Source organism: Homo sapiens, chromosome 8, assembly GCF_000001405.40.
Source record: "Homo sapiens chromosome 8, GRCh38.p14 Primary Assembly".
Taxonomy (NCBI): domain Eukaryota; kingdom Metazoa; phylum Chordata; class Mammalia; order Primates; family Hominidae; genus Homo; species Homo sapiens.
This window is the reverse complement of record NC_000008.11, coordinates 98,146,257-98,169,547: the sequence shown is the minus strand read 5'-3', so window position 1 is coordinate 98,169,547 and position 23,291 is coordinate 98,146,257. Positions and strand designations below refer to the sequence as shown.

At 45.0% G+C, this 23,291-nt stretch overlaps 1 protein-coding gene across 3 annotated transcripts in view, besides 3 other annotated features; it reads right to left on the bottom strand.

The window, feature by feature from the left end:
- Positions 1,741 to 2,352: an enhancer, noted in NCBI's record as "H3K27ac-H3K4me1 hESC enhancer chr8:99179424-99180035 (GRCh37/hg19 assembly coordinates)". NCBI's record gives its function as "activates a minimal SCP1, AML or CMV promoter by ChIP-STARR-seq in naive H9 embryonic stem cells {active_cell/tissue: H9 hESC(naive)}" and the evidence as "EXISTENCE:reporter gene assay evidence [ECO:0000049][PMID:30033119]".
- Positions 2,725 to 3,924: an enhancer, noted in NCBI's record as "P300/CBP strongly-dependent group 1 enhancer chr8:99177852-99179051 (GRCh37/hg19 assembly coordinates)". NCBI's record gives its function as "activates an origin of replication core promoter dependent on BRD2, BRD4, P300/CBP, MED14 and CDK7 cofactors, with strong dependence on P300/CBP, by STARR-seq in HCT116 cells {active_cell/tissue: HCT116}" and the evidence as "EXISTENCE:reporter gene assay evidence [ECO:0000049][PMID:35650434]".
- Positions 4,764 to 4,863: a silencer, noted in NCBI's record as "silent region_19395". NCBI's record gives its function as "represses an Ori minimal core promoter by ATAC-STARR-seq in GM12878 lymphoblastoid cells {active_cell/tissue: GM12878}" and the evidence as "EXISTENCE:reporter gene assay evidence [ECO:0000049][PMID:35858748]".
- The window catches only part of POP1 (POP1 ribonuclease P/MRP subunit), a 42,543-nt gene continuing 28,964 nt past the window's right edge, over positions 9,713 to 23,291 (bottom strand). For all 3 annotated transcript variants that reach the window (NM_001145860.2, NM_001145861.2, NM_015029.3), the window contains exons 12-16: positions 22,865 to 22,980; positions 20,542 to 20,733; positions 18,909 to 19,063; positions 13,136 to 13,498; positions 9,713 to 11,931 (exon numbers count right to left, since the gene is read on the bottom strand). In NM_001145860.2, the coding sequence (NP_001139332.1) occupies positions 11,277 to 11,931; positions 13,136 to 13,498; positions 18,909 to 19,063; positions 20,542 to 20,733; positions 22,865 to 22,980 (1,481 nt within the window). In that variant the 3' untranslated portion in view covers positions 9,713 to 11,276. The remainder of the gene's footprint in view (positions 11,932 to 13,135; positions 13,499 to 18,908; positions 19,064 to 20,541; positions 20,734 to 22,864; positions 22,981 to 23,291) is intronic.

Genomic DNA, 23,291 nt, shown 5'->3' with positions numbered 1-23,291 from the left:
GCTTGAAGCCGTGCCTTTTTGTGCTTGCCAACATTCCAGGAGCCCCCTGAAAGAAGATGCAGAGGGCAGAATGCTGAAGGAAAGCTGGGAAGGTCAAAAGAGAGAAGAGAGAGGAGACACAGTGTTAAGTCCAAGACAGCAAACTGCTCTTTTCCCTTATGGATGTTAGACCCTCTTTCTGGGGGGAAAAAAATGCTTTATTCAAAAAGTTCAGCCAGGCATAGTGGGAGGCTGAGGGCGGGAGAATCCCTTGAGCCCCAGGAGTTGGTGACCAGCCTGGACAACATAGCAAGACCCCCATCTCTACAAACAACAAAAAAAAAACTAAAAAACATGGTGAAACCCCATCTCCACTAAAAATACAAAAATTAGCTGAGTGTGGTGGCGCTAGCCTGTAATCCTAGCTATTTGGGAGGCTGAGACATGAGAATTGCATGAACCCAGGAGATAGAGGTTGCAGTGAGCCAAGACTGTGCCGCTCCCCTCCAGCTTGGGCAACAGAGTAAGACTCTGTCTCAAGAAAACAAACAAACAAACAAACAACAACAAAAAAAAAAACTAAAAAGACAAAAAGTTTGTCCTGAGAAGCACCCAGCACTGTTAGGAGGCCTGGGCTCTGGTCCTGGCCCTGCTACTAAGCAGTGGTGTGACTGGGTGACTTTGGACACATGATACCCCCTTTCTGCGGCTCAGTTTCCTCCTTGACAAAACGACGGAGAGGGTGGGTCAAGACGCCTGCTCTGGGGCCTTTCAGCCACATACTGGTCCCTCCCCATGCCTTTCAGTTGCCCTGTGGGGAAGCTGCCCACTGCCACTCTGTGGACGTCCATGGCCAAGGGGTGTCACCATTTGCCCTCAGAGACCTCCGAGGAGGAAGAAAGGACCCAGAACTGTGCCCCAGGGCGTGACAGATGGAAAGAATAACTCTTAACTCGATCATATGAACAGGAGATTAGCATTAATCCCCAGTGGGGACTGAATCACTGTGCCCAAAACGCTGCACGCAGGGCCAGGAGCTCGGCAGGCGCAGAGCACGGCGGGCGGGGAGCCCGGCCGTTCACTAGCCAGATTAAAAGAATTCAACCTGCAGAGGCTCCAAAGGCCGACCCACGGCAGAGCAGAGCGGGAGGAGAGGTCACTGCTCGCTGCCACCTCTCACCTGAGAGGAGATCGCCGTGTGGTGTACCCACGCCTTTCTGGGTGCGGGACAGCTGTGTGCCTATGTTTCATTGTTTTGCTTTTGGCTGATGTTTCAGACAAGAGCGGGCCAATTGGTAGACGTAAACATGGGCCTTTCATAGCTGCCTAACTAGGCAAAGATGAATGGCTTGGGTGGTGCTCTAGTCGAAAATAACAGCAGCATATCAGGGCAGAATTAAAGAGAGAGAAAAACAAACAAAATAAATCTATCAGGACTCCAGGGCCATCTTTCTGAGGAAAACGTCAGGATGAGAAAGACCGGATTCCTGTGCCAGACCAGGGGTCAAAATCCTCGACACTCTACACATGGCCCTGAAGCAGGGAGTTGTTGTTGTCCTCGAGCTGCCTAAGGACAAGTCGGAGCCTGTGTAGGGAAGACTCAGTCAGTGTCCCTGTCTTCTATTCCTAATGACTGATTAAAGCCGTTGAAAATGTTAAAAGCCATTCCAAATGCCACGCTGGTGGAACAACTGTGTTTTCTTCACACTCAGGGAGATGGAGTCTGAGGAAGCACTGGTGACTATGAGGATGGGGGTCTCATGCTGGCGTTTGGGGAACCCTAGCTGTCTCTGTTCCCAGCTTGACTCTGTGGTCACCACAGTAGGGACAGACACTCCCCTCCAACCACTCCCCAATGCCCTCCAGACTTAGGGGAGGGTCCGCAGATTCTGCTTGGGAGCACGGTGGAGGCCCAGACCACAGCCACCCCTGCCCCTGGCCTCAGGGTGGAGGGGCAGAGCCAGGCAGCTCTGTGAGTGATGTTGGCCCCATGCTGAAGGCCAGCTTCCCCTTGCCTGCCACTTGCTTTGCCTTGGAGGGTGCCCCTGAGCCAGTAACAAGTGTTTGCGGGAGCCACGCTCTGCCCTGAGTAAGAAGAAATTTCTACCTTTTCTCCCTGCTCCACAAAGAGAGCTCTACAGCCCCTCACAGGCAGAGAACAATTAGTGACTCAAAAAGGAAATGTATGGGATGAGACACTTACTTAGGCTTTGCAGGGGACCCTCCGCTTCAGGAGGACCTTCTAAGGAAGGCTTTCTATTGGTTTGGAGCCTCCGATACGTTCTAACATCTCAGCTTGGTGGGGGTGCCCTTGAGGTCTTCATCCTCTCTCTGCTCACCTGGAAGTGCCCTGTGCTCCCTGGGGCCAGTTAGTGCCCCATCCGGCAGGTTTTTCTCCTCTCATGATGCCCAGCCATGGGAGGTGGGGGTGCCTCCAGATGCCCCAGCCAAGGCTCTCAGGGCAAAGGATCGAGGTTACTTTCTCGAAGGTCACTCAGGCTTGTGTGGGGTGACGCAGCGGGACAGGAATGACTCCAAGATGCCAAGACCGGAAGAAAACACACTCTGTCCGCCCTCTGCAGTTCCCCCAGGCCTCATCTCTCAACAGCCACACAGAGAGTCAGGACAGGGTGTCTCAGAAACATCCCCTCCAGTGTCTAGCAGCTGAACGAGGGTGGCAAAATGCCATCCCAGGCTCCACCAGAACTTACATGTCCCTGCAGAAGTGTGATGCCGTGGGAGCCTACAGGGCATGGTGAAATACCCAGAAGTTACGTAAAGGGGCAGCTGCTAGATGTTAGAAGAAAGACAAGTTCCCGGCCAGAATATTCAGTCTTCAGCAACCAGAAGCTAGGCCTCACTGTTTAAAAAAAAATAAAAGGAAAGGAAAGAAAGAGAGAAAGGAGGAAAAGGCCTACAATGATCCAGATCTCAATGTTAAAAAAAAAAAAAAATTTTAACTTTTGTGCCCTAATTCATAACACCCAAAAAGAGTGACATTCAAATTTCTGAACAGTCAATTCTGGCAAAAATATCAGAATCTTACAAGTGGAAAAAAAATTCAAAAGATTATCTTTCCTGGTGATTCTCAAACATGATCCCATGAAATCACATTGGGAGCCTAATAAAAATCACAGGTTTCAGGGCCACCCTACAGACCTAGTCGGGCTGGAATCTCTCGGGACCGATGCCAAGGTATTTGTGAGTTTAGCAAGCTCCCCAGGTGCTCTGATGATAATGAGGTTTGGAAACCACTGGTGGCCCACTGCTCCTGAACCTTTCCTGTGCATGCGAACCACCTGGTGATCTTGTTCAAATGCAGATTCTATTCCAGGTCTGAGTGGAGCCTGGGATTCTGCATTTCTGTTGCTGATGCTGCTGGTCCTAAAGCCATACTTGAAATATCCGGACTGTTCTCCAACCTCCCTCACTTGACTGAGAAACAGATAAACTGAGTAGCAGATATAAGGGAAGCCGAGAGGAGAACTGCTGAGTTAAAAGAGAAAAAAATGACGTGGGTGGGAGGTGAGCGAAGAGAAAAAAATGACGTGGGTGGGAGCTGAGCCGAAAGGAAGCTGCAAGCTAATTGATCAAGAATGATAGTAATCTCAGCACTTTGGAGGGAGGCCAAGGCAAGAGGATTACTTGAGTTAGGAGTTTGAGACTGGCCTGGGCAACATGGCAAAACCCTGTCTCTACAAAAAATAAAAAAATTAGCCAGGCATAGTGGCTCACGCCTATGGTCCCAGCCACGTGGGAGGCTGACACAGGAAAACTCCTTGAGCCCAGGAGGCGGAGGTTGCAGTAAGCCAAGATTGTGCCACTGCTGCAGCCTGGGTGACAGAGCAAGACCCTCCCCCCAACCCAAAAAAAAAAAAAAAAAAAAGAATGATGGTAAAGCTGGTTTCAAAGCCAGCCCCAGAATCTCCACTTGGTCATTTTCTTACCAGACAACAGTCTTGGGGCTTGTTTCCTAGTGATCATTGCAGGTATACAATGGGAACTAGAATTCTGCACAGGCCCCTGGGACTGAGAGCTTGCTGTGCAGCTGAACCATAACTGCCCCACTCTTTGGCAAAATCAACTTTAGAGTCTACATGCCGACCTCTGGCATGTGTTCCAGGGTGCTCATCAGGCACTCCCTGACACCCTACCACCCTGTGTATACAAGTGTGCACGTGCACACACACACAGAAATGTGGCTCCAGACACCCCTCCACCTGGTGTATACAGTGTGCACATACACATGCTTCACAAGTGACAACAGGAAATAATCACCCTGTCTTCTGAGGGCCCTGTGCTGGACATCTATCCCGTCTCTCATTCCCTTGACCCACTTTGTGCTCAGCCCTTGCTGCAGCAACTGGCTGGGCACAGGCGTAGGCCAAGGGCACCTTGCCTTAGCCACCCCTAGTCTTCTGCCCCTGGGGCTTCTTGGCCTGCCTTCCGTGAGATGCTCACTGAGCAGGCCAAGCCATTCTAGCACCTGTGCAAACCTGGCGGAAATGAACAGTCCCTGGGGGAACTGTTCATTTAGGCAATAGGAATGGGAGCTGGTAAATAAAGACTTTCCTCTCCCGGGCCTCATGTAGACAAAGCATTCCATTCATCAGACTGTCCCCAGAGGGATGGAGCCCCAATTGCCTCCAAGGGTAACCAGCTCACAATGCACACTTGGATTGGCTTTCCTCCTTTCCTGGTTCACTTTCCCAGCCTCCCTAAAATAAACTCCCTACATGAAAGCCATGCCAGGCTCTGTTTTAGAGAAAAACCTGACTAACCCATGCCCTCCAGTGGTAGTGGCTAAATCCTGCAGAACAAGGAAGGAGGAGGCTGCAGACTTCAGAGAGGGCTGGCCCACAGTGACCCAGAACACCAGAGGCTCTCCCTAAAGCCACAGCCCCTGCCTGAGGCTCACTGCAGCTGTGCAGGTTTCTGAGAACAAATTATGTTGAGTCCAAAAAATAATTTAAGGTCCTCTGTGCGACGTTGGAAACAAGAGAAGGAAAGCTAAAGAAACAAGGCTTGTTTAGCCTGGAGAAAAGGTTAATAACCAACTTCATAAAAATAAATGGGTGCTTCTCAATGTTAGCTGATGTAAGAATGCAGGGAGATAGGACTGACCTGGAGCTGAAGGGCCATTTCACCCGTCGGTATGCTGCCAAAGTGGAGATGGCATCTCCCGGTGAAGTAATGAGCTCCCCATCATCGGAGGCATTCAGCTTGTGATGCAGAGGGGTAGACTTACTGGGGATAATGTGGATGGGATTCATTCTTTGGATAAAGCTTTTAAAGTTATTCCTTTTTTTTTTTTTTTAAGATGGAGTCTCACTCTGTCACACAGGCTGGAGTGCAGTGGCACGATCTTGGCTCACTGCAACCTCCGCTTCCCAGGTTCAAGCGATTTTCTTGCCTCAGCCTCCTGAGTAGCAGGGATTACAGGTGTGAGCCACCACGCCCAGCCTAAAGTTGTTCCTTTTCTAGGCACCTCTTTAAAAATCACGGATCCTTTTCAAACTAGGATTCTGTTAGTATAAGTCTGCCCCAAAAAGGGGGAATGTCAACTGATAAGTGACCTCACAAACTCCCCCAGTCCAAGGACATTGAATTGTGCTTTTCCGCTGTTTTTTCCTGAGTAGGCTGTTTACTCATGAGGTCTTGGCACCACCTAGTGGGCTCTTTTGTTCATTACAACATGTGCCTGGCCAACAAGAGTATTAACTGTAAAGTTTAATACATACACCCTTTTTGATTAAAGCATCAATTCAACAAAAATGTATTAAATACAAGTTACGGGTTAAGCATTGTGCTATCACCTGGGGTGCAGCATTAATCAAACAAGACATGGTCTCACCTTCATGAGGCTCATATTCTAATGGACTAGACAATAAACATGTAAACAACAAAATAATTAATTGCTATACATTGTGATGTCAGGAAATAAACCCATTGTGTGATATAGAGTAATGTAAGCAGGAAGAGGCTATTTTAAGTAGGATTGGCAAGGCCAGTGCGGTGGCTCACATCTATAATCCCAACGCTTTGGGAGCCCCAGGTGGGTGAATTACTTGAGGTCAGGAGTTCAAGACCAGCCCGGGCAACATAGTGAGATGCCTGTCTCTACAAAAAATATAAAAATTAGCAAAGTATGGTGGCACCTGCCTGTAATTCCAGCTACTCAGGAGGCTGAGGTGGGAGGATCACTTGAACCCGGGAGGTGGAGGCTACAGTGAGCCAAGATCATGCCACTGCACTCTAGCCTGGGCAACAGAGCGAGACTGTCTTAAAAAAAAAAAAAATTAGCTGGGTGTAGTGGCACGCATGTGTGGCTCCCAGATACTTAGGAGGCTGAGGCAGGAGGATCACTTGAGCCTGGGAGGTCAAGGCGACAGTAAGCCATGTTCACGCCACTGCACTCCAGCCTGGGAGACCTAGCAAGACACTGTCTCAAAAAATAAAAAATAAAATAAAATAAATGGTGGGCAGAGAAAGCCTCTGCATGTGGACAATCGTGGAGGAGCCAAGAGCTTGGCCATTCAAGGAGCTGAGGCCAGCATGTTCAGAGCCCAGTGGGTTAGCCCAGAGGGGCGCAGTAGGACTGGAGAGAGAAACGAGGGGAGTTCCATGTTCGTAAACATTTCCTCAAGTGAAAGCACACAAATGGTTAGGGTGGGCTCTTCCAGAACAATATCTAATTAAATTTAAATTTTCAAAACATGGGGAGAGGGAAAATGCCTTGACATGAACTTGGCCACGTGCCCAAGTCCAGGAGGCCCCTACCAGGGCCATGGGTCACAGCTGTGTGCCCCACTCAAGAGAGCTGCATCTGCTCCCCACACCCTGCTTCAGGGTCCCCATTACTGATAAGCTGCATCTTTGATTATTTATTTTGGAACCTCATTTTTAAAGTCTGGAAGAGTGGTTCTCAACCTTGGCTGCAAATCACCTGGGAGCTGTTAAAACCCCCAAAGTCTAGCTCACACCCTTGACCAGTTAAAGCTTCATCCCAGGAGGGTAGGCCCTGGGCACCAGTGCTTTGAAAGCCTGCAGGTGATTCCCATGTGCAGCCAAGGCTGAGAACAGCTGGTCTGGAAGTATACTCACCAAAAGAAAAACAAGAGACCTCATTTGATATTCTCAAGTAGAGAAGGCTACAGAAGTAATGAGGCTGTTTTCTTTTTCACTACCAGGCCTCTTCCCCAGGTGGAAGCCCTGACTCTGGGCCACCCAGCCCTCGACACTACGCTCTCATTACGTTCCCACCTGGACGCTTCACCATGCAGTCAACAGACCGTGTGAGCGGACTTTGCAGACATGTACTTTTTCGTAATGGCAAGCAGGCCTGCTACAGGCACAGGAGTTCTTGGGTTTCCATGGCCTTGTTACTCAGTCACACTTCCCCAAGGTGCAGAGGGTCCAAGAGCCAGACCTCCGAAAGCGGCGATTCTCCACTGAGCGGCACATCACAACGGCCTGGGGAGCTCATAAATACTGATCCTTGGGCCCAACCCAAGATTGATTTCTGGGCTGCAGCTTGGGCTATTGGGTGATTCTAAAATGCAGCCAAAGGCCAGGCACAATGGCTCACACTTGAAACTCAGCACTTTGGGAGGCCGAGGTGGACAGATCACTTGAGGTCAGGAGTTCGAGACCGGCCTGACCAACGTAGTGAAACCCCGTCTCTACTAAAAAATACAAAAGTTAGCCGGGTATGGTGGCGTGTACCTGTAATCCCAGCTACTCGGGAGGCTGAGGCAGAAGAATCGCATGAACCCGGGAGGCAGAGGTTGCAGTGAGCCAAGATCGTGACACTGCACTCCAGACTGGGCAGACAGAGTAAGACTGTAGGAGAGAAGAGGAGAGAAGAAGAGAGGAGGGGAGAGGAGGGGAGAGGAGGGGAGAGGAGGGGAGAGGAGGGGAGAGGAGGGGAGAGGAGGGGAAAGGAGGGGAGAGGAGGGGAGGGGAGGGGAGGAGAGGGGAAGGGGAGGAAAGGAAAGGAGAGGGGAAGGGGAGGGGAAGGGAAGGGTGCCAAGACTGGAAGCTGCTGTTGCCAAAGAAAAGGCAGTGCCTGTATTCCTCTGTGTCCTCAGGAGGCCTATAATAACCAGAACCGCTGTGAAACTGGGGTTGATGCTTGAGTGGCCCACAGTTGCTACAGGCTATGTATTCTCTGCTAAACAGCTCAATCCTGGACCTATCTCTGTGCTCCCCAGGCCTCAGATCGGCTGGCTACGAGTAGGCCAGTTAAGACTATGAGGGAGTCCATATAGCTTGTCAACCGCCCCCCTCACCTCCCACTGGTTGGGAAGAAAGAACTCACGCAAGGCATGTGGCCGCCAAGACGGCAATGCTACACTTAGTACATGATGGGTGGTTACATACTAACTTCCCATTTAAAAAAAAAAAAAAAAAAAAGGAGTATTATCCTTAAAGCTCTTGCCAGTCAAGCACCAACAAAAAAACTGGTAACATGCACTCTGCTGCACTTGCATGGTATAGCTCTTTATATAAGCAACGGCTTATGTTATTAAAAGAAAACTACCCACATACATCTTAACGTCTAGGATACATAACAGAAGGTAACTAGTTATATTGCATGGTGAAAATCCAGGTGATTTAAATTTTGTTATTGTTGCTCATCTTCATTTTCTAATTGTTTTATGATGAATATGGATGACTGATATGAACAATATTACTAGAGCATAAACACCAAAAGGAATCCATTGTTTCTTACAGAACTCAAGTGCATAGCTGGTCTGTAAGTGTTCAGCTCACAACTCTGCCTTTTCTTTTCTTTTTTTTTTTTTGGAATGGAGTTTTGCTCTTGTTACCCAGGCTGGAGTGCAATGGTGCGATCTCGGCTCATTGCAACCTCCGCCTCCCGGGTTCAAGCAATTCTCCTGCCTCAGCCTCTCAAGCAGCTGGGATGGCAGGCATGCGCCACCATGCCTGGCTAATTTTGTATTTTTGGTAGAGACAGGGTTTCACCATGTTGGTCAGGATGCTTCAAGAACCCTAAAAGCATTGCTCCCTCAACAAGAGGACAAGGGCCACATTGCACTTATTTGGTAGCTATGTAGCTCTAGTACAGCATGGCAGGCACTTGGAAGGATCAAGATCAACACGCTAATCAATTCAACTGCCAGAAAGTAAGCCATTCCCCTATCAGTCTTTTTCATAAGGAACATGGATTCTTTACTGCCTCTGCAGAGTCTGTTAGTTTTTCAACGTATCTTCTGTGAAACTAGTGTTCTCTGGACAATAGGTATGCAAAAACCAAAAAAGGTACGTGTGTGGGAGTCTGAAAGACAGATTTCTTTCCTAAAGAGCTTTGCAGAGCTTTGACTCTGCAAGTATTCATTGTGAATCATAATAGGAGGATACCATATATAGCTTTTCCCATATTTATTTAGCCATAAAATACTTTTCTCCAGGAACAGCTGCAGGGACTAGTACTCCCAGGAATACATTTTGGGAAATGCTAATCTATCTTTCTGGTGCGCAGCTCTTTGACCTACCACCCACCAGGCAGAGTGGCTGCAAACGTGCCCTGTCCCCTATAATGAGGGCGGGGCAGCAGGCCCTAGGCAGGGCTGTACAGAATGAGGTTAGGTGACCACGCAGCACACTCAGACTTCTGTCATCGAGTGAGCTCAGCCACAAATGAGGTGACTGAGAGCCCAGAAAACAAATAAGGAATGGTCCAATAAATATAAATATTCACAACTGAACATCAGGTGACATTTTCATTTATTCTGTTTACAGATGCCACTTAGTTACACTGTTTTTTTTTTTTCAGTCTCATCTGGGTTGGATCCAAAGACATTCAGAGGCATGGTAAGAGGCAAAGCATCAGACATCTCATTGGTGGCAGGTACTTCCTGACTACTGTACCACCTGCTGTATCCTTCCCCACCTCATCACCCCCAAAGCCATTTAGTGCCAAATGCTACAGTAAAAACCCAATGCATTTACATAAAATAATGCCTAACTGCATATTTACATTTTTTAGAAAAAAAATCCCATTAAGCTCTTCTAGAAAGTTATGGCAGGAAAGGTAAGGACCAAGGCTATGAGCAAGCCATATGTGGAAACTTAAAGTAGATGAGCACTGAGTTTCTCCATAGTTGGAAAAAAGCCACACTGAGCCCACTCTTCCTGTGAGGCAAGATGAGACCTTCCTTTTATACCCTGTTGAGAATCTCAGGTGGACAACGTGACTGCATGAGTGTTGAAAGGCAGCTTGCCGGCTTAGTTATCACCTTGCAGAGGTAGCTATGCACTACACAGCCACACTGCCCAAAGCGCGCTACTAAGAACACTGGTCCTACAAAGGGCTCCTTGTAAGAGAACTTTAGGAATCACAAGTATTTAGAAAATACTATACACTATCATTTCCTTCCTAGAGATCCGCAATGCACATTATCACATGGAAGTTTCCAGAAGTTCTTTCATAAAGAAATGCTTAACTTTATTTAACCTAGAGTTTCCATATCAACCTGACCTTGGAATCTCTTACTTTTTTAGGTGACACATATCATAGAACATATTCTGAGAAATGCTCCTCTATGGCTTTGAGAAAATCTTTGCAGAAACAAAATAATAATAATTTTTTACTTAAAAAAATTAAGTAACTAGTAGGATCAAGTGTTGGTCAACAACAAAGAGATCAAAGAGTCAGGAAGTCCACGTCATAGACCCCCACTTTCTAATTCCAGCCTAGCACTGACGCCATAAACTGTGCCTGCCTGAAAACAGGCAGAAATCAGTTGTCCATGATTTCTCTCTTTAAGGCTTGAGTTGTTCGGCATGGAAATCACAGTACAGAATTGAATGAGGTCCATCAGGAGCCCATATTTCATGTACAGAGGCCAAGCGTCTTCTCTTGTCTTCTGCTATAACAGTGAAATCATTAAACATCTATTGTTGCTTATCACATGACTATGAGGTTTTTCAAATAGACCTGACAAGCCCTTTGTTTCTAACAAAAAAAGGGGATGATAACTCGTAGAGCTTCTCATTATTTTCAGCCACAACTACACAGACCAAGAGATCATAATACAAAGCTTTTGGCCAAATAATTTAAAAGTATTACAGCAAGGACAGGGAAAGATGAAAATCAATGACATTACTGGAATGATGTAAACATTTCATCATCTGCATAATACATAATTTTTTATTCTTGTTTCCAGGGAGTTTCACATGATATTTTAAAGCAGAAGCAGATTCTCCACATGTAGAACTTGGCAGACAATAATAACGTATTATCTATGCCCTGCTGGGATACAAGCACGCATTCACACCTCAATAGCAATCCTCGCAAATCGATACTGCAGAGAGGCGGGAGGCCTCAGTAGCACTAAGCCCCTCTGCGCTGCAGGCTGGCTGGACAGCATATCCAGCAAGCCTGTCAAGCTAACAAACCCCAGGGCTTCTCCACAGCCAACAGCCATGGAAAAATCTCCCTGAGTCACAAAGCCTAGGAGAGTTCTGGAGCAGTGCAACGTCACACGCGGCAGAGGGCCTGACCACAGCCCTAGAGTCAGAGCTTCCTGCCCAGCCACGGGCTCTTCCCCCGCCGGGCCATCAGAAGAGGCACGTCCTGGCTTCTGCCTCTTCTCCCTTTTCTTCTTCTCTTTCTGTTTCAGGATCTTGCTCCTGAATGGGTCACTGTGTTTGGATTCCTGGGGCCCACAGTAATGCCAGTCCTCATGGAGCTGGAGGAAGTCCTCCTTGGCTGGGACACAGATCATGGTGTGAGGCTCGGGGCTGCCCTTGCTGAGCAGGGACAGGCTGACCCAAACCAGGGCCCTGGGGAAGTGGCCCAAGATGGACAGGCAAGCCTCTCTGGTCAATCCTTGCTGGCCTCTGCCGGGAGCTCGCCGGCCTCCCCGACTATCCTCAGAACTGGGCCCACACCAGGCTGACAGTTGCTTCAGTAATTTTCTACTCCTACATGAAGTTGGAGACATACGTTTGAGGATATTTTGTTCCAGAAAAAAATATGCAATCAGAAGATTAGACACTGCTAGAATTAATTTGATTCTTTTATACTATATAAGAATCAAAACTACAATTTTTTAAAAATTAGAAATACACTGTAGTACATTTTAGTACTTATATTTTTCTTTTTATGTGTTTGCCATTCTGAAACTCAGGGACTAAAGATTTAAGAAGTTGAAGGCAGGGAAAACAAGACAGTGAGATAGAATCTAGGATTGTAATCACAGTGAGGGTGAAAATAAAGAGCCACTAAGATTTCAATGAGTAAAGGAACTGTAAGGGACTGTTACATGTAAAGTAAGAAAGAATGATAGGAAATTATGAGGCTACTATACGGAAAAGTAAGCACAAGGCTAGAGGGATAAGCACTTTTTAAAAATCAAAGCACAGGCCGGGCGCAGTGGCTCACACCTGTAATCCTAGCACTTTGGGAGGCTGAGGTGGGCGGGTCACCTGAGGTCAGGAGTTCGAGACCAGCCTGGCCAACATGGTGAAAATTAGCCAGGCGTGGTGGCATGTACCTGTAGTCCCAGCTACTTGGGAGGCTGAGGCAGGAGAATCGCTTGAACCCAGGAGGCCGAGGTTGCAGTGAGCCAAGATCACACCTCTGCACTCCCGCCTGGGTGACAGAGCAAGACTCCATCTCAAAAAAAAAAAAAAAAAAAATCAGAGCAAAGCACAGAATGCAGGGTCACTGATGAGCAGAACCTGGCCCACACCAATACTGAGAGGAGAACATAGTGTATCCGGTAGCCTCTCTGGCTAGGACTATATTACATCTAATGGGTTGCTGCTCTAACACAAATCCATATAATTCAAAAGGAACTAGAAGAAATCTAATTTGGTAATTTAAAGCAAAGAATCCTTGCTCAAACTGCATAAAATATGTCAGAAAAAAAACTGCCTTGGCTTGGATCTATTGATGACAATATTGTAAATCATTTCATCAATTAGCATCATGCCTTACATCAAATATTATTAAGCTGTTTCCCTGAGCCCTCTATGAAATATAAAAGACTGGCTTTCCCTTCCAGAAAGCCTATAAATTCACTTGGATTTTGCATAAACAAACAGTGATAACGCTTACATCCTGTAGCCTCTTCAATATTAAAATAAATAATCCAAAATGTACCCAGAAGTCACCGACACTTACCTGAGAACGCAGAGGTGACTCCCTGTGGCAGCAACATGGTTTTCACTGGCCTCCTGGTCTGTGATCCTCTCAGGCCCTGCCGATTCTTGACACCCTGCATCCATTACCTCCTCTGCCTCCCTGGGGTGCTCTATGGATGTGCCCACTTCATCAGATGGCTGATGAGTTTTTTTAGGCATGGGAGCACAAGGCACCTCAGATCTTCTTAGGTCACTCTCCTTACCATTTGGAGATGAAGCTACAGAAGGTTCTTCGTAAGCCTGGACTCTTGACTCCCAGTCTTGAGTTAACTGCTCCCAGGGACAGCAGAAAGGTGCCAGAGTGCCAAGCTTAACGTAGTTGGGCCGTTTTGCAGGAGGGCGTCTAAAGAAAAACATACAGGAGAACCAATGTTGAACAATTTAGGATTGGAAAACTAAAATAATTATAACCATTATAATGCATCTCTATTTTAAAACACACACACACACACACACACACACACACACACACACACACACACAAAAGCTTTCCAAGAAACATATGATAAAGAATAATAGGCTGGGCTCAGTGGCTCATGCCTGTAATCCCAGCACTTTAGGAGGCCAAGGCAGGCGATCACCTGAGGTCAGGAGTTCGAGACCAGCCTGGCCAACATGGTGAAAGCTCTACTAAAAATACAAAAATTAGCCGGGCATGGTGGAGGGTGCCTATAATCCCAACTACTGGGAGGCTGAGGCAGACGAATCACTTAAACCCAGGAGGCAGAGGTTGCAGTGAGCTGAGATCACACCATTGCACTCCAGCCTGGGCAACAGAGTGAGACTCCGTCTCAGAAAATAATAATAATAGGCCAGGCATGGTGGCTCATGCTTGTAATCCCAGCACTTTGGGAGGCCCAGGCGGATGGATCACGTCACGTCAGGAGTTCGAGACCAGCCTGGCCAACATGGTGAAACCCTGTCTCTACTAAAAATACAAAAAAATTAGCTGGGTGTGGTGGCACATGCCTGTAATCCCAGATACTAGGGAGGCTGAGGCAGAAGAATCGCTTGAACCCAGGAGGCAGAGGTTGCAGTGAGCCAAGATCATGCCACTGCACTCTATCCTGACAAAAGCGAAACTCCATCTCCAAAAAATAAAAAATAAAATAATAATAATAACCAATTCTACTGGCCAAGCTTTTTTGTTTTCTTTGGTCTTCAATAAACAATGTAGCCCCATGTGGCCACTGAACCACACCAGGGGATCCATTCCTGAAAGCTACAAGGAACTGGTGCCCCTAGAGTTGTGCCACGATTTTCCTGTACACTTACGAGGTTCTAAGCTCAAGGCTACATGAAGTTTCTGTCTTACTCTTGACCTCTAGTGACCCAGCTATCCTCCACAAAGGTAATAAATATCATTATCAGTTTCTTACATAGCCTTCCAGAGACATCTTATGTACACACAAGCAGATATTACATATTTCTTTCTTTTTATTTATTTTTATACAAATAGCAGCATACTAGGTACAGTACTTTTTGCTTAACTTCACTTTTTTCATTTAACAAAATATCTTGATTACTTTATACCAGTACTGAAAGCTCCCTCATTCTTTCTTTTTAATAGGCTGTGTATCTTGTATCTTACTCTACTGAATGAATATGCCCTAATTGATTTAGACAGTCCTCTATTAAAGGACATTTTGATTGTCTTTAAGCTTTTGTTCCTCCAAACAAGGCTGCAATTAATGATCTTGACGGTCATGCTGCCTTCCCCTGCACCACTATGACTCTTGTCACTCCCAGTGGCTTCAGCATCTGCCTAAATCATCCTTCCAATAACCCACCAGTCACCTTCCCACCCTCACTTCGCATGTCTTACTTCACCCCACCTCAAGCACCCACTCCCTGCTCATACCTTAGGTGTGGTCACTGCCAACACCTGCTCCAGCTTCAAACTGCGATGTCAGTATCCTGCTCTCAGAGCCATGCCTCCTGTTTTCCACCCACTTACCCTCCCACAACAATGCCCCAACCACCCATTTACACTAGCACCTCCCTGCGGCTCGCAGCAGCTGCCTCGCTCTTCATCAGCCTAGATGGCTCACACCACCGTCCCTCCCCTACAAACACCCCCACTCCCTCCACTGGAAAGCTGACCTGGGCGCAGCCAACTCTCCAATGACCCCATGCCAGCCCGAGTGGCAGAGCACAGCGGAGGAAGAACTCATGATGGTTCTTAACGGTCTTCCTTTATAAACACAAATCTCAAGTAGGTGCCCTCTACATCTTACAGATCCCATGTTTCTCCTCTCAATTCCGTCTTCCACTCTCCCAGAAACTGCTTACAATTCCTCTCTCCTCAAATCTCCAACAGCCTCTCTCCCCTTCTTACTGCTGGCTGATAGCTGTGCCTCTTTTTTCATGAAGACAGTCACAATCAGGAGTGTGCTACTTAATCCCCCCACTGCAGAATCTAACCTAGCTAAATAAATCCATGTTCAGATGTCAGTGGCAGGCTAACAGCCTTATATTAATTTTTCTGAGGAAGGAGAACTAGCCAACTTAAGAATTACAGAAAGAAAGTGGTTTGGAAAATAGGATTAAGAGCCAGGGCCGGGCACGGTGACTCACACCTCTAATCCCAGCACTTTGGGAGGCCGAGACAGGCAGATCACAAGGTCAAAAGATCAAGACCATCCTGGCCAACATGGTGAAACCTGATTTCTACTAAAAATACAAAAATTAGCTGGGCATGGTGGTGGGCACCTGTAATCCTAGCTACTCGGAAGGCTGAGGCAAAAGAATCGCTTGAACCTGGGAGGTGGAGGTTGCAATGAGCCGAGATCACGCCACTGCACTCCAGCCTGGCAACAGAGCAAGACTCTGTCTCAAAAAAAAAAAAAAAAAAAAAAAGAGTCAGAACTGTTTGTAAATCTAGTTGGAAGATAGCCAAAGAAATAAAAGCAGATTAAACTGTATCAGTGGCAGTCTCACAGTCTTATATTCAGAAGAACTGAACTCAATCCCAATAGATGCTGCCTCCTCCACGTGTGCCCTGAATCCCCCCCTTCTTCCTTGTCCAAGGACTTCGCTCTTACATTTTAGCTTCCCTCCCCTCTCCTGGGTACCCCCAACCAGCCTAGAAACTTGTGCCTCCATCAAGAACATAAGCTACGTGGCCAGGTATAGTGGCTCATTCCTGTAATCCCAGCATTTTGGGAGGCTGGGATGGGAGGACTGCTTGAGGCCAGGAGTTCAAGACCAGCCTGGGCAACAAAGCGAGACGCTGTCTCTACAAAAAATTTAAAAATTAGCCAGGAGTTGTGGTGCACACCTACAGTCCCAGCTACTCAGGAAGCTGAGATGGGAGGATTGCTTGAGCCCACGAGTTGGAGGCTGCAGTAAGCTATGATCGCACCACTGCACTCCAGCCTGGGTGACAGAGCGAGACCGTCTCAAAAAATAAAAGAAGAATATAAGCTCCATGAAGGCAGAGACAGACTTGTCTGCCTTGTCCCTGCTGTCACCCCACCGCCTACAATGGTGTTTGACACACAGTAGGCTCTAAAGAAATGTATGTTAAATGAAGGAATAAATGAGACAAATATATAAAGATGCATACAGGAAGATGTTCACAGAAACACACAGCAAAAAGTCAGAAATAACCTCAAAAGCCACTGATAAATTACAGGACATCCACACTGCAATTGCATGTGAGCATTCAAAGTGACATTTTGAACAAAGCTGGCAGGCTGACTCACAAGCCAAATGTGGCCTGCTGTCTGTTTTTGTATGACCCATGAGCTAAGAATGGTTTCTACGTTTTTAAATGGTTGAAAAAGCAAAAGAATAATATTTCACGACACATGAAAATTATATGAAATTCAAATCCGAGGGTCCATATATAAAGCACGATTGGAACACAGCCGTGCTCGTTCTCTTACGTGTCATCTGCAGCTGCTTTGGAGCCACAGTGGCAGAGTCGAGTAGTTGCCATGGAGACCGAGGGCTCCACAAAGTCAAAAATATTTATCATCTGGCCCTCTACCAAAAAAGTTTGTCAACACTTGGTTTAGAGTCATATTTTTTGATATGGTAAAACCATACATACCATATTGTTAAACGAAAAAGACAGGTTTCAAAATAATGTATGTAATACCATTCTTTAAAAAAATATGTATATCTATGGAAAATTTGCATGCATAAAAAGCTCTGAAGAGTAAGAAATAAGTATTATTTTTAACTATTATTTAACAAACACATAGAAGCCTCTCAACTACATACTATGGGAGGCACAAGGATGTATAACATGTGATTGCTGCCCTCAAAGAGCTGGTAAGGTAGCAATCCAGGAATACATCACTAGTCACTCATTCATCCACCACTCAGCAAATAGTTTGAAACGCAGGCACAGGCCAGGCAGGGTGGCTCACACCTGTAACCCTAGCACTTTGGGAGGCCAAAGGAGGTGGATCACTTGAGCCCAGGAATTCAAGAACACCCTGGGCAACATGGCAAAACCTCATCTCTACAAAAATTAGCCAGGCATGGTGGCAGGTGCCTATAGTCCCAGCTACTCAGGAGGCTGAGGTGGGAGGATCACCTGGGTCCGGGAGGTGGAGGCTGTGGTCAGCCATGATCACGCCACTGTACTCCAGCCTGGGTGACAGAGTGAGATCCTGCCTCAAAAAAAAAAAAAAAAAAAAGCAAGCCAGGCAGACTGCCTGTCTCTATAGTTATGGTTGCAGCAATGAACAAGAAAACACAATTCTGCCCTCATGAAGCTCACCATCAAGGAACTACAATATTCAACCAGTCATTCATCAGACAACAAATAAAGGTTATTAAGACCTACTGTGCACCAGGCACTGGCTAGACACTGCAAATGCCACAATAAAGAGAGACAGCTTCTGTGCTTCCGGGAGCCTACAATTTAGGGGGCAACAAATTCCCAATGTTAGAATATACTTTGCAATATAAAGGAAATCATGACCCTCATCGGCCACACTTCCAATGAAAAAAGAAAAGTCTAAATGGATAGGTACTAAGATATAAAAACAGTGCTTGGCCAGGCACAGTGGCTCACACCTATAATCCTGGCACTTTGGGAGGCCAAGGCCGGTGGATCTATGGAAAATTGGTATCGAGACCAGCCTGGGCAACATGGTGAAACCCCGTCTCTACAGAAAATACAGAAGTTAGCCAGGCACAATGGCACATGCCTTTACTCTCAGCTACACGGGTGAGGTGAAAGAATCGCTTGAGCCCAGGAGGCAGAGGTTTCAGTGAGCCAAGATCACGCCACTGAACTACAGCCTGGGCAACAGAGCAAGACCACCATCTCAAAAAACAAACAAACAAACAGTACTTATCTCTCTGGGTGGCAGGACTATACCAATTTATCTTTTTATATATTTTCATAGTTTAATTAAATTTTGATAACTATATATTACTTCTATAATAAGTTTTAAAAACACAATTTCCATTTTGGAGGGAGACACGGGTTGGTAGTAGAAATCTATTAACAAGTGTCTGAGACTCATGTCCAAGTTTAAGTGTACATCATTATTGATAGAAATAAATAACAAACAGAAGGGTTTATAACCAAAATGGGCCTACAAAAGCCAAATAGATATAAGACAATCTCCTCACTTAAGTAATATCTTCTTAATTATTTCTCAGTAATGCTGAACTCACTGAAAAGTCTATGAAATTACCAAAGCCATCCTAATGTTTGGGATACCAATATAAGCAGGCACTTCTCTTTTCCTTAATACATTATCAAATTAGAGAAGCCAGTTTCTTACCTTTTGTACTTTTCAAGAAGATTCTTAGCTTGCTCTTCCGCAAACAGCATCCCGGCAGGGCAGTCTGGAAAATCGCCTGGGACATTAGGCGACCTCTTATACTGAGAATGCACTGCAGACTCTTTCAACCCTCCGACTCTCACACCTCGATAAATCTAAAAGAAATGTCAAAAAGATACTGTCAGTCTACCAACTTAAAGTGAATTGCTTAATGTTTATATGGGGGAAAATGGAAACAACCTAAACGCCCCTCAAAAGGAGAATGGATAGAAATACACACAATGGATTACCATGCAATAGTAAAAATGAATAAAATCGAGCTTCGTCATGCTTCATTAACCAATATGGAAAAGAATCTCAATGCCAAGTGAATACAGCAAGTTGCAAAATCATATATACAGTAAGGTATATACTTTAAAAACATGTCAAGTCTAAATAGTTATTTTATTGTGGGATACAAACATACTTTAATAAAGCTATAAAAATATGCATGGTAGTAGCAAATACCGAAATCAGCGGAGTGATTATTTTAAAAGGAGGGAGGGAAATGAAACTGGAGAGAGGTACACAGGGTGCATCAATGCATCTGTAATGTTATATTTCTTAAGCCGGATGGCGGGTAAATGGCACACAGGCATTCACTATATCAGCATCTATTCTTTTTTGTATGCTTGAAAGCATCTCATAGTAAAAAATTAAGTAGGATTATTTTTAAATATTCCTACTCCTGAATGATTAACTGGATGTCCCTTGCACTAGGCATGCTAAAAATTAATTACCGGCATGAATCTAAAAGTCTCACATGCCTTTTACACTCTCTAGAATCGAAGTAATATTTATTTATTTATTTATTTACTTATTTATTTTATTTATTTATTTATTTTGAGACAGAGTCTCGCTCTGTCGCCCAGGCTAGAGTGCAGTGGTATGATCTCAGCTCACTGAAACTCCGCCTCCCAGGTTCAAGGGATTCTTATGCCTCAGCCTCCCAAGGAGTTGGGATTACAGGTATGCACCACCACACCCAGCTAGTTTTTGTATTTTTAGTAGAGATGGGGTTTCACCATGTTGGCCAGGCTGGCCTCAAACTTCTGACCTCAAGTGATCTGCCCACCTCGGTCTCCCAAAGTGCTGGGATTACAGGAGTGAGCCACCACACCCAGCCTTCAAAGTAATATTTGAAATAACCAGGAAAAAAAAGACACATTCGATTCTAATAAAATTTTTAGCTGCAGTTGATAAATAGGAGTATATGGTTATAGTTAACATTTCAAAAACAAAAAAAAAAGTATTCTATCCATCTGTAAAAGTTAAGTCCTTTGCTTTTAAACTTATAACAAATTTCTTCAAATCAAATACCTCAACATTTTTGTTGCCACTACTATTCGAATATCAGGCCACTTTAAAAACCTCAACAATTGACGATATGTCAGCACAGGTCTTATAATGAGAACCTGGCTCCAGGGACTATATGTATGAAGTATCTTGTATCCAGGACTATAGCTCTAAGGGCAGAAATACACCACTCAATTCCTCCTAAGTTGTACATAAAGTCTGGAACATTTTGAGTACTTAGCATTTATTAGGAATGTATTTTAAATATTGCAACTGTTAGAATCAAAAAGTAACTTACAAATGGAATCCAGAAAGCCATGCCCCAGCCCTTTGGGAGTAGGACATCCCAGCCACTTCCCCAGCCTAGTCGATCTTCACCAGTCACTTTTCCTGGCTGCTGAATCAAAAGTATAGGTATCTTGGATTCATGGGGACCTAAAATAAGCTGTGACCCAGGCACCAGCAATTCACTCCTCATCCGGTTTAAATCCTAAAGTGGAAGAAAATAATTCAAGACAAATAGCCCTAGTCTTCTGGGAGATCCTCCTGGGTCTCCCTATAAGCAGCTTTAGAAAATTAAATGCTCTTTTAAAAAAGCAAGAGAAAAACGTTCTAAATAAATAAATGTGAGCCATTTTAAGTATAAGGTATTCCTCCTACAGATATTTTCCTCTATACAAGTGCTTAGGTAGAAATTCGAAATTATCTTATATCATTCATTATCAGTATTCATTCTGCTGATCTCTTATATCAAGATTAATCTTGTATGTTGATATTCTGTCCTTACATTGATTTTGATTAAGATTTGGTGTCATGAAGTAAAAAAGATATAAACAATTAAGTGACACCTTCTCAAGGATGGGCAACTAGAGAAATGCACTGCCTCTTGAGAAAATTGCTCATCAGATCTTCAAGAATTAAATAGAAGATGTTTAAAATTATTGTTAAGGGGAATGTAGGGGGTGGATAACATCCTTTCAGACTTTTCTTGGAGCTGTAAAAAGAGATTAACAGGTAGGTAAGAGGGCTATCACTGTTTAGAAAAACTATGCAAGAGACTGCCTCCAGGCCATAGTCTAACTGCTACCTCATGAACGCTCTTCAAGCCAGGTCCAATCCTGATTCTTCTTTTTCACTTTCGGAGTTTCCACTACCATCTATGTGTTAGTAATTCCAAACTATATCTCTTTAGCCCCGACTTTTCCTCCCGGGATCAAAACCTGTCTCCTGGACCTCTGCTCTTGGGAAGTCCCACAGCCCCTCAAGCTCAAGATTGAACTCATCACCCTTCCCACTGTATTTGCTCTCTTCCTATATTCCTCACCTAGCTGAATGACACCACAATTCACACACTCCATTCATTCAGCCATTCAAATATTTACTGAGCACTTCTATGTGCCACACACTTTTCTAGAACCTGGAAATACATCAGTGAGCAAGTAAGACATGGTTCTGGCTCTCTTTTAGCTGAAATCCTAAATCCAAGCTAGAATATCAGGACCTAATCGACACACCTCCTCCTTTCTTACCTCCTATCTTCCAACCAACCACCAAGCCTTGTCAATTTCACCTTCCAGGAATATGCGTTAAACATCACCCTCTCCACTCTAGCCACACTGCCACAATTCAGGCCCCCATTATGTCATACCTAGAATATTTCAAGGGTCTTTTTAAGGCCATCCAACCCACAGTCTCTCTCCAGCTTCCTCACCCCCCATCTCCAACCCCACACTGCTGTCAGAGTGAAATCTCATCATGTCACAGCCAACCTTAAAACTTTCAAGGGTGTCCCACATCTCCAGTCCAAATCCTGAAAAGGCTTCAAGGTCTTTCATGCTGTAGCCCCATTTGTGTCTTCAGCTTCCTCTCTCACCCCATTCCTGATTCCTAGCTCCTGATCCACTTGTAGAGTCTTCCTGGTTTTTGCCTGGGCTCCTGTACATGCTTTTCTTACTTCCTGCAATCTTATCTTCACTGAAACCTTGACCCTGCCCCCAAGAAGTCTGGTGACTTCTGGCTCCCATCTGAGAGTCAGTTCAAATGCCTGCTCTTCCATCAGGAGGCTGGCCTCATTTTTCTCATCTGAGCTCAGTACCCCTTCTAGAGGTTTCCTGAGTGCCCTGTACTTCTTTGACCACATCTAAGTCATCTATCCCAGCATCTTACACAATGTCTGGCCCTGGAAGGTCCCCAGTCATAGTAAAATTAAAGACAGAGAACATTTAAGGGAAAAGAAAACAATAAAAGAAAAACATATTTCAACCATGAGATCATCATTTCAAGAAAAAGTCTTTGTATTAACATTTTCTAGAGATTATTCTTACTTTATCTCTAAGAACAGAAAAAAATCACAGTATGTATCTTTATTCTTAGATTCTTATCCTTGGATAATAGACAAGATCCTTATCTTATTCTTAGATCCCTATCCTTATTCTTAGATTATCCATAAGAACAGAAGAAAATCACAGTACATATCATGAGTTAGGGATCAACAACTTGTTTGAAAACAAAAGAAAGTCTATGGAATTCTATGAAGTATGAATAACTTTTTATGGTCTCTAGAATGATATATTTAACCTGTCATTCATGACTTTACCAATAACCCTTACACTATTAGTTACCTGATCCGAGATTTTATTCTCTGTGACACTCTTACAGATATCTTGGTTCCAGATAAAGCTATGCGTACATTCCACAGGCACACCCTCCAGAAGCAGCTGTCTAACTTTCTCATTATCTAAGAGGGAAAAGAAATAGCCTTCAAACCACATCCTTCAGATCAATGAAGTCAAACTCCAAACATTGGCAATAGGCCTTTTGTTACAAAACAATATTTCATAGGCATTTACTTAACTTAGAAGAATTTACTTGACAAGAAATTAAGTTATTCTTATAGTCGGTTTTACAGTCTATGACATAGCAAAGGCTCCTAAGCAGTTTTTTCTGGTATTGATTTTTCATGTATAAGATGCAAATATCACAATATTAAATTGCCTCCAAATAACTGTCTAATTCCACATGTAAGATAATCAAATTCTAGGAGCCACG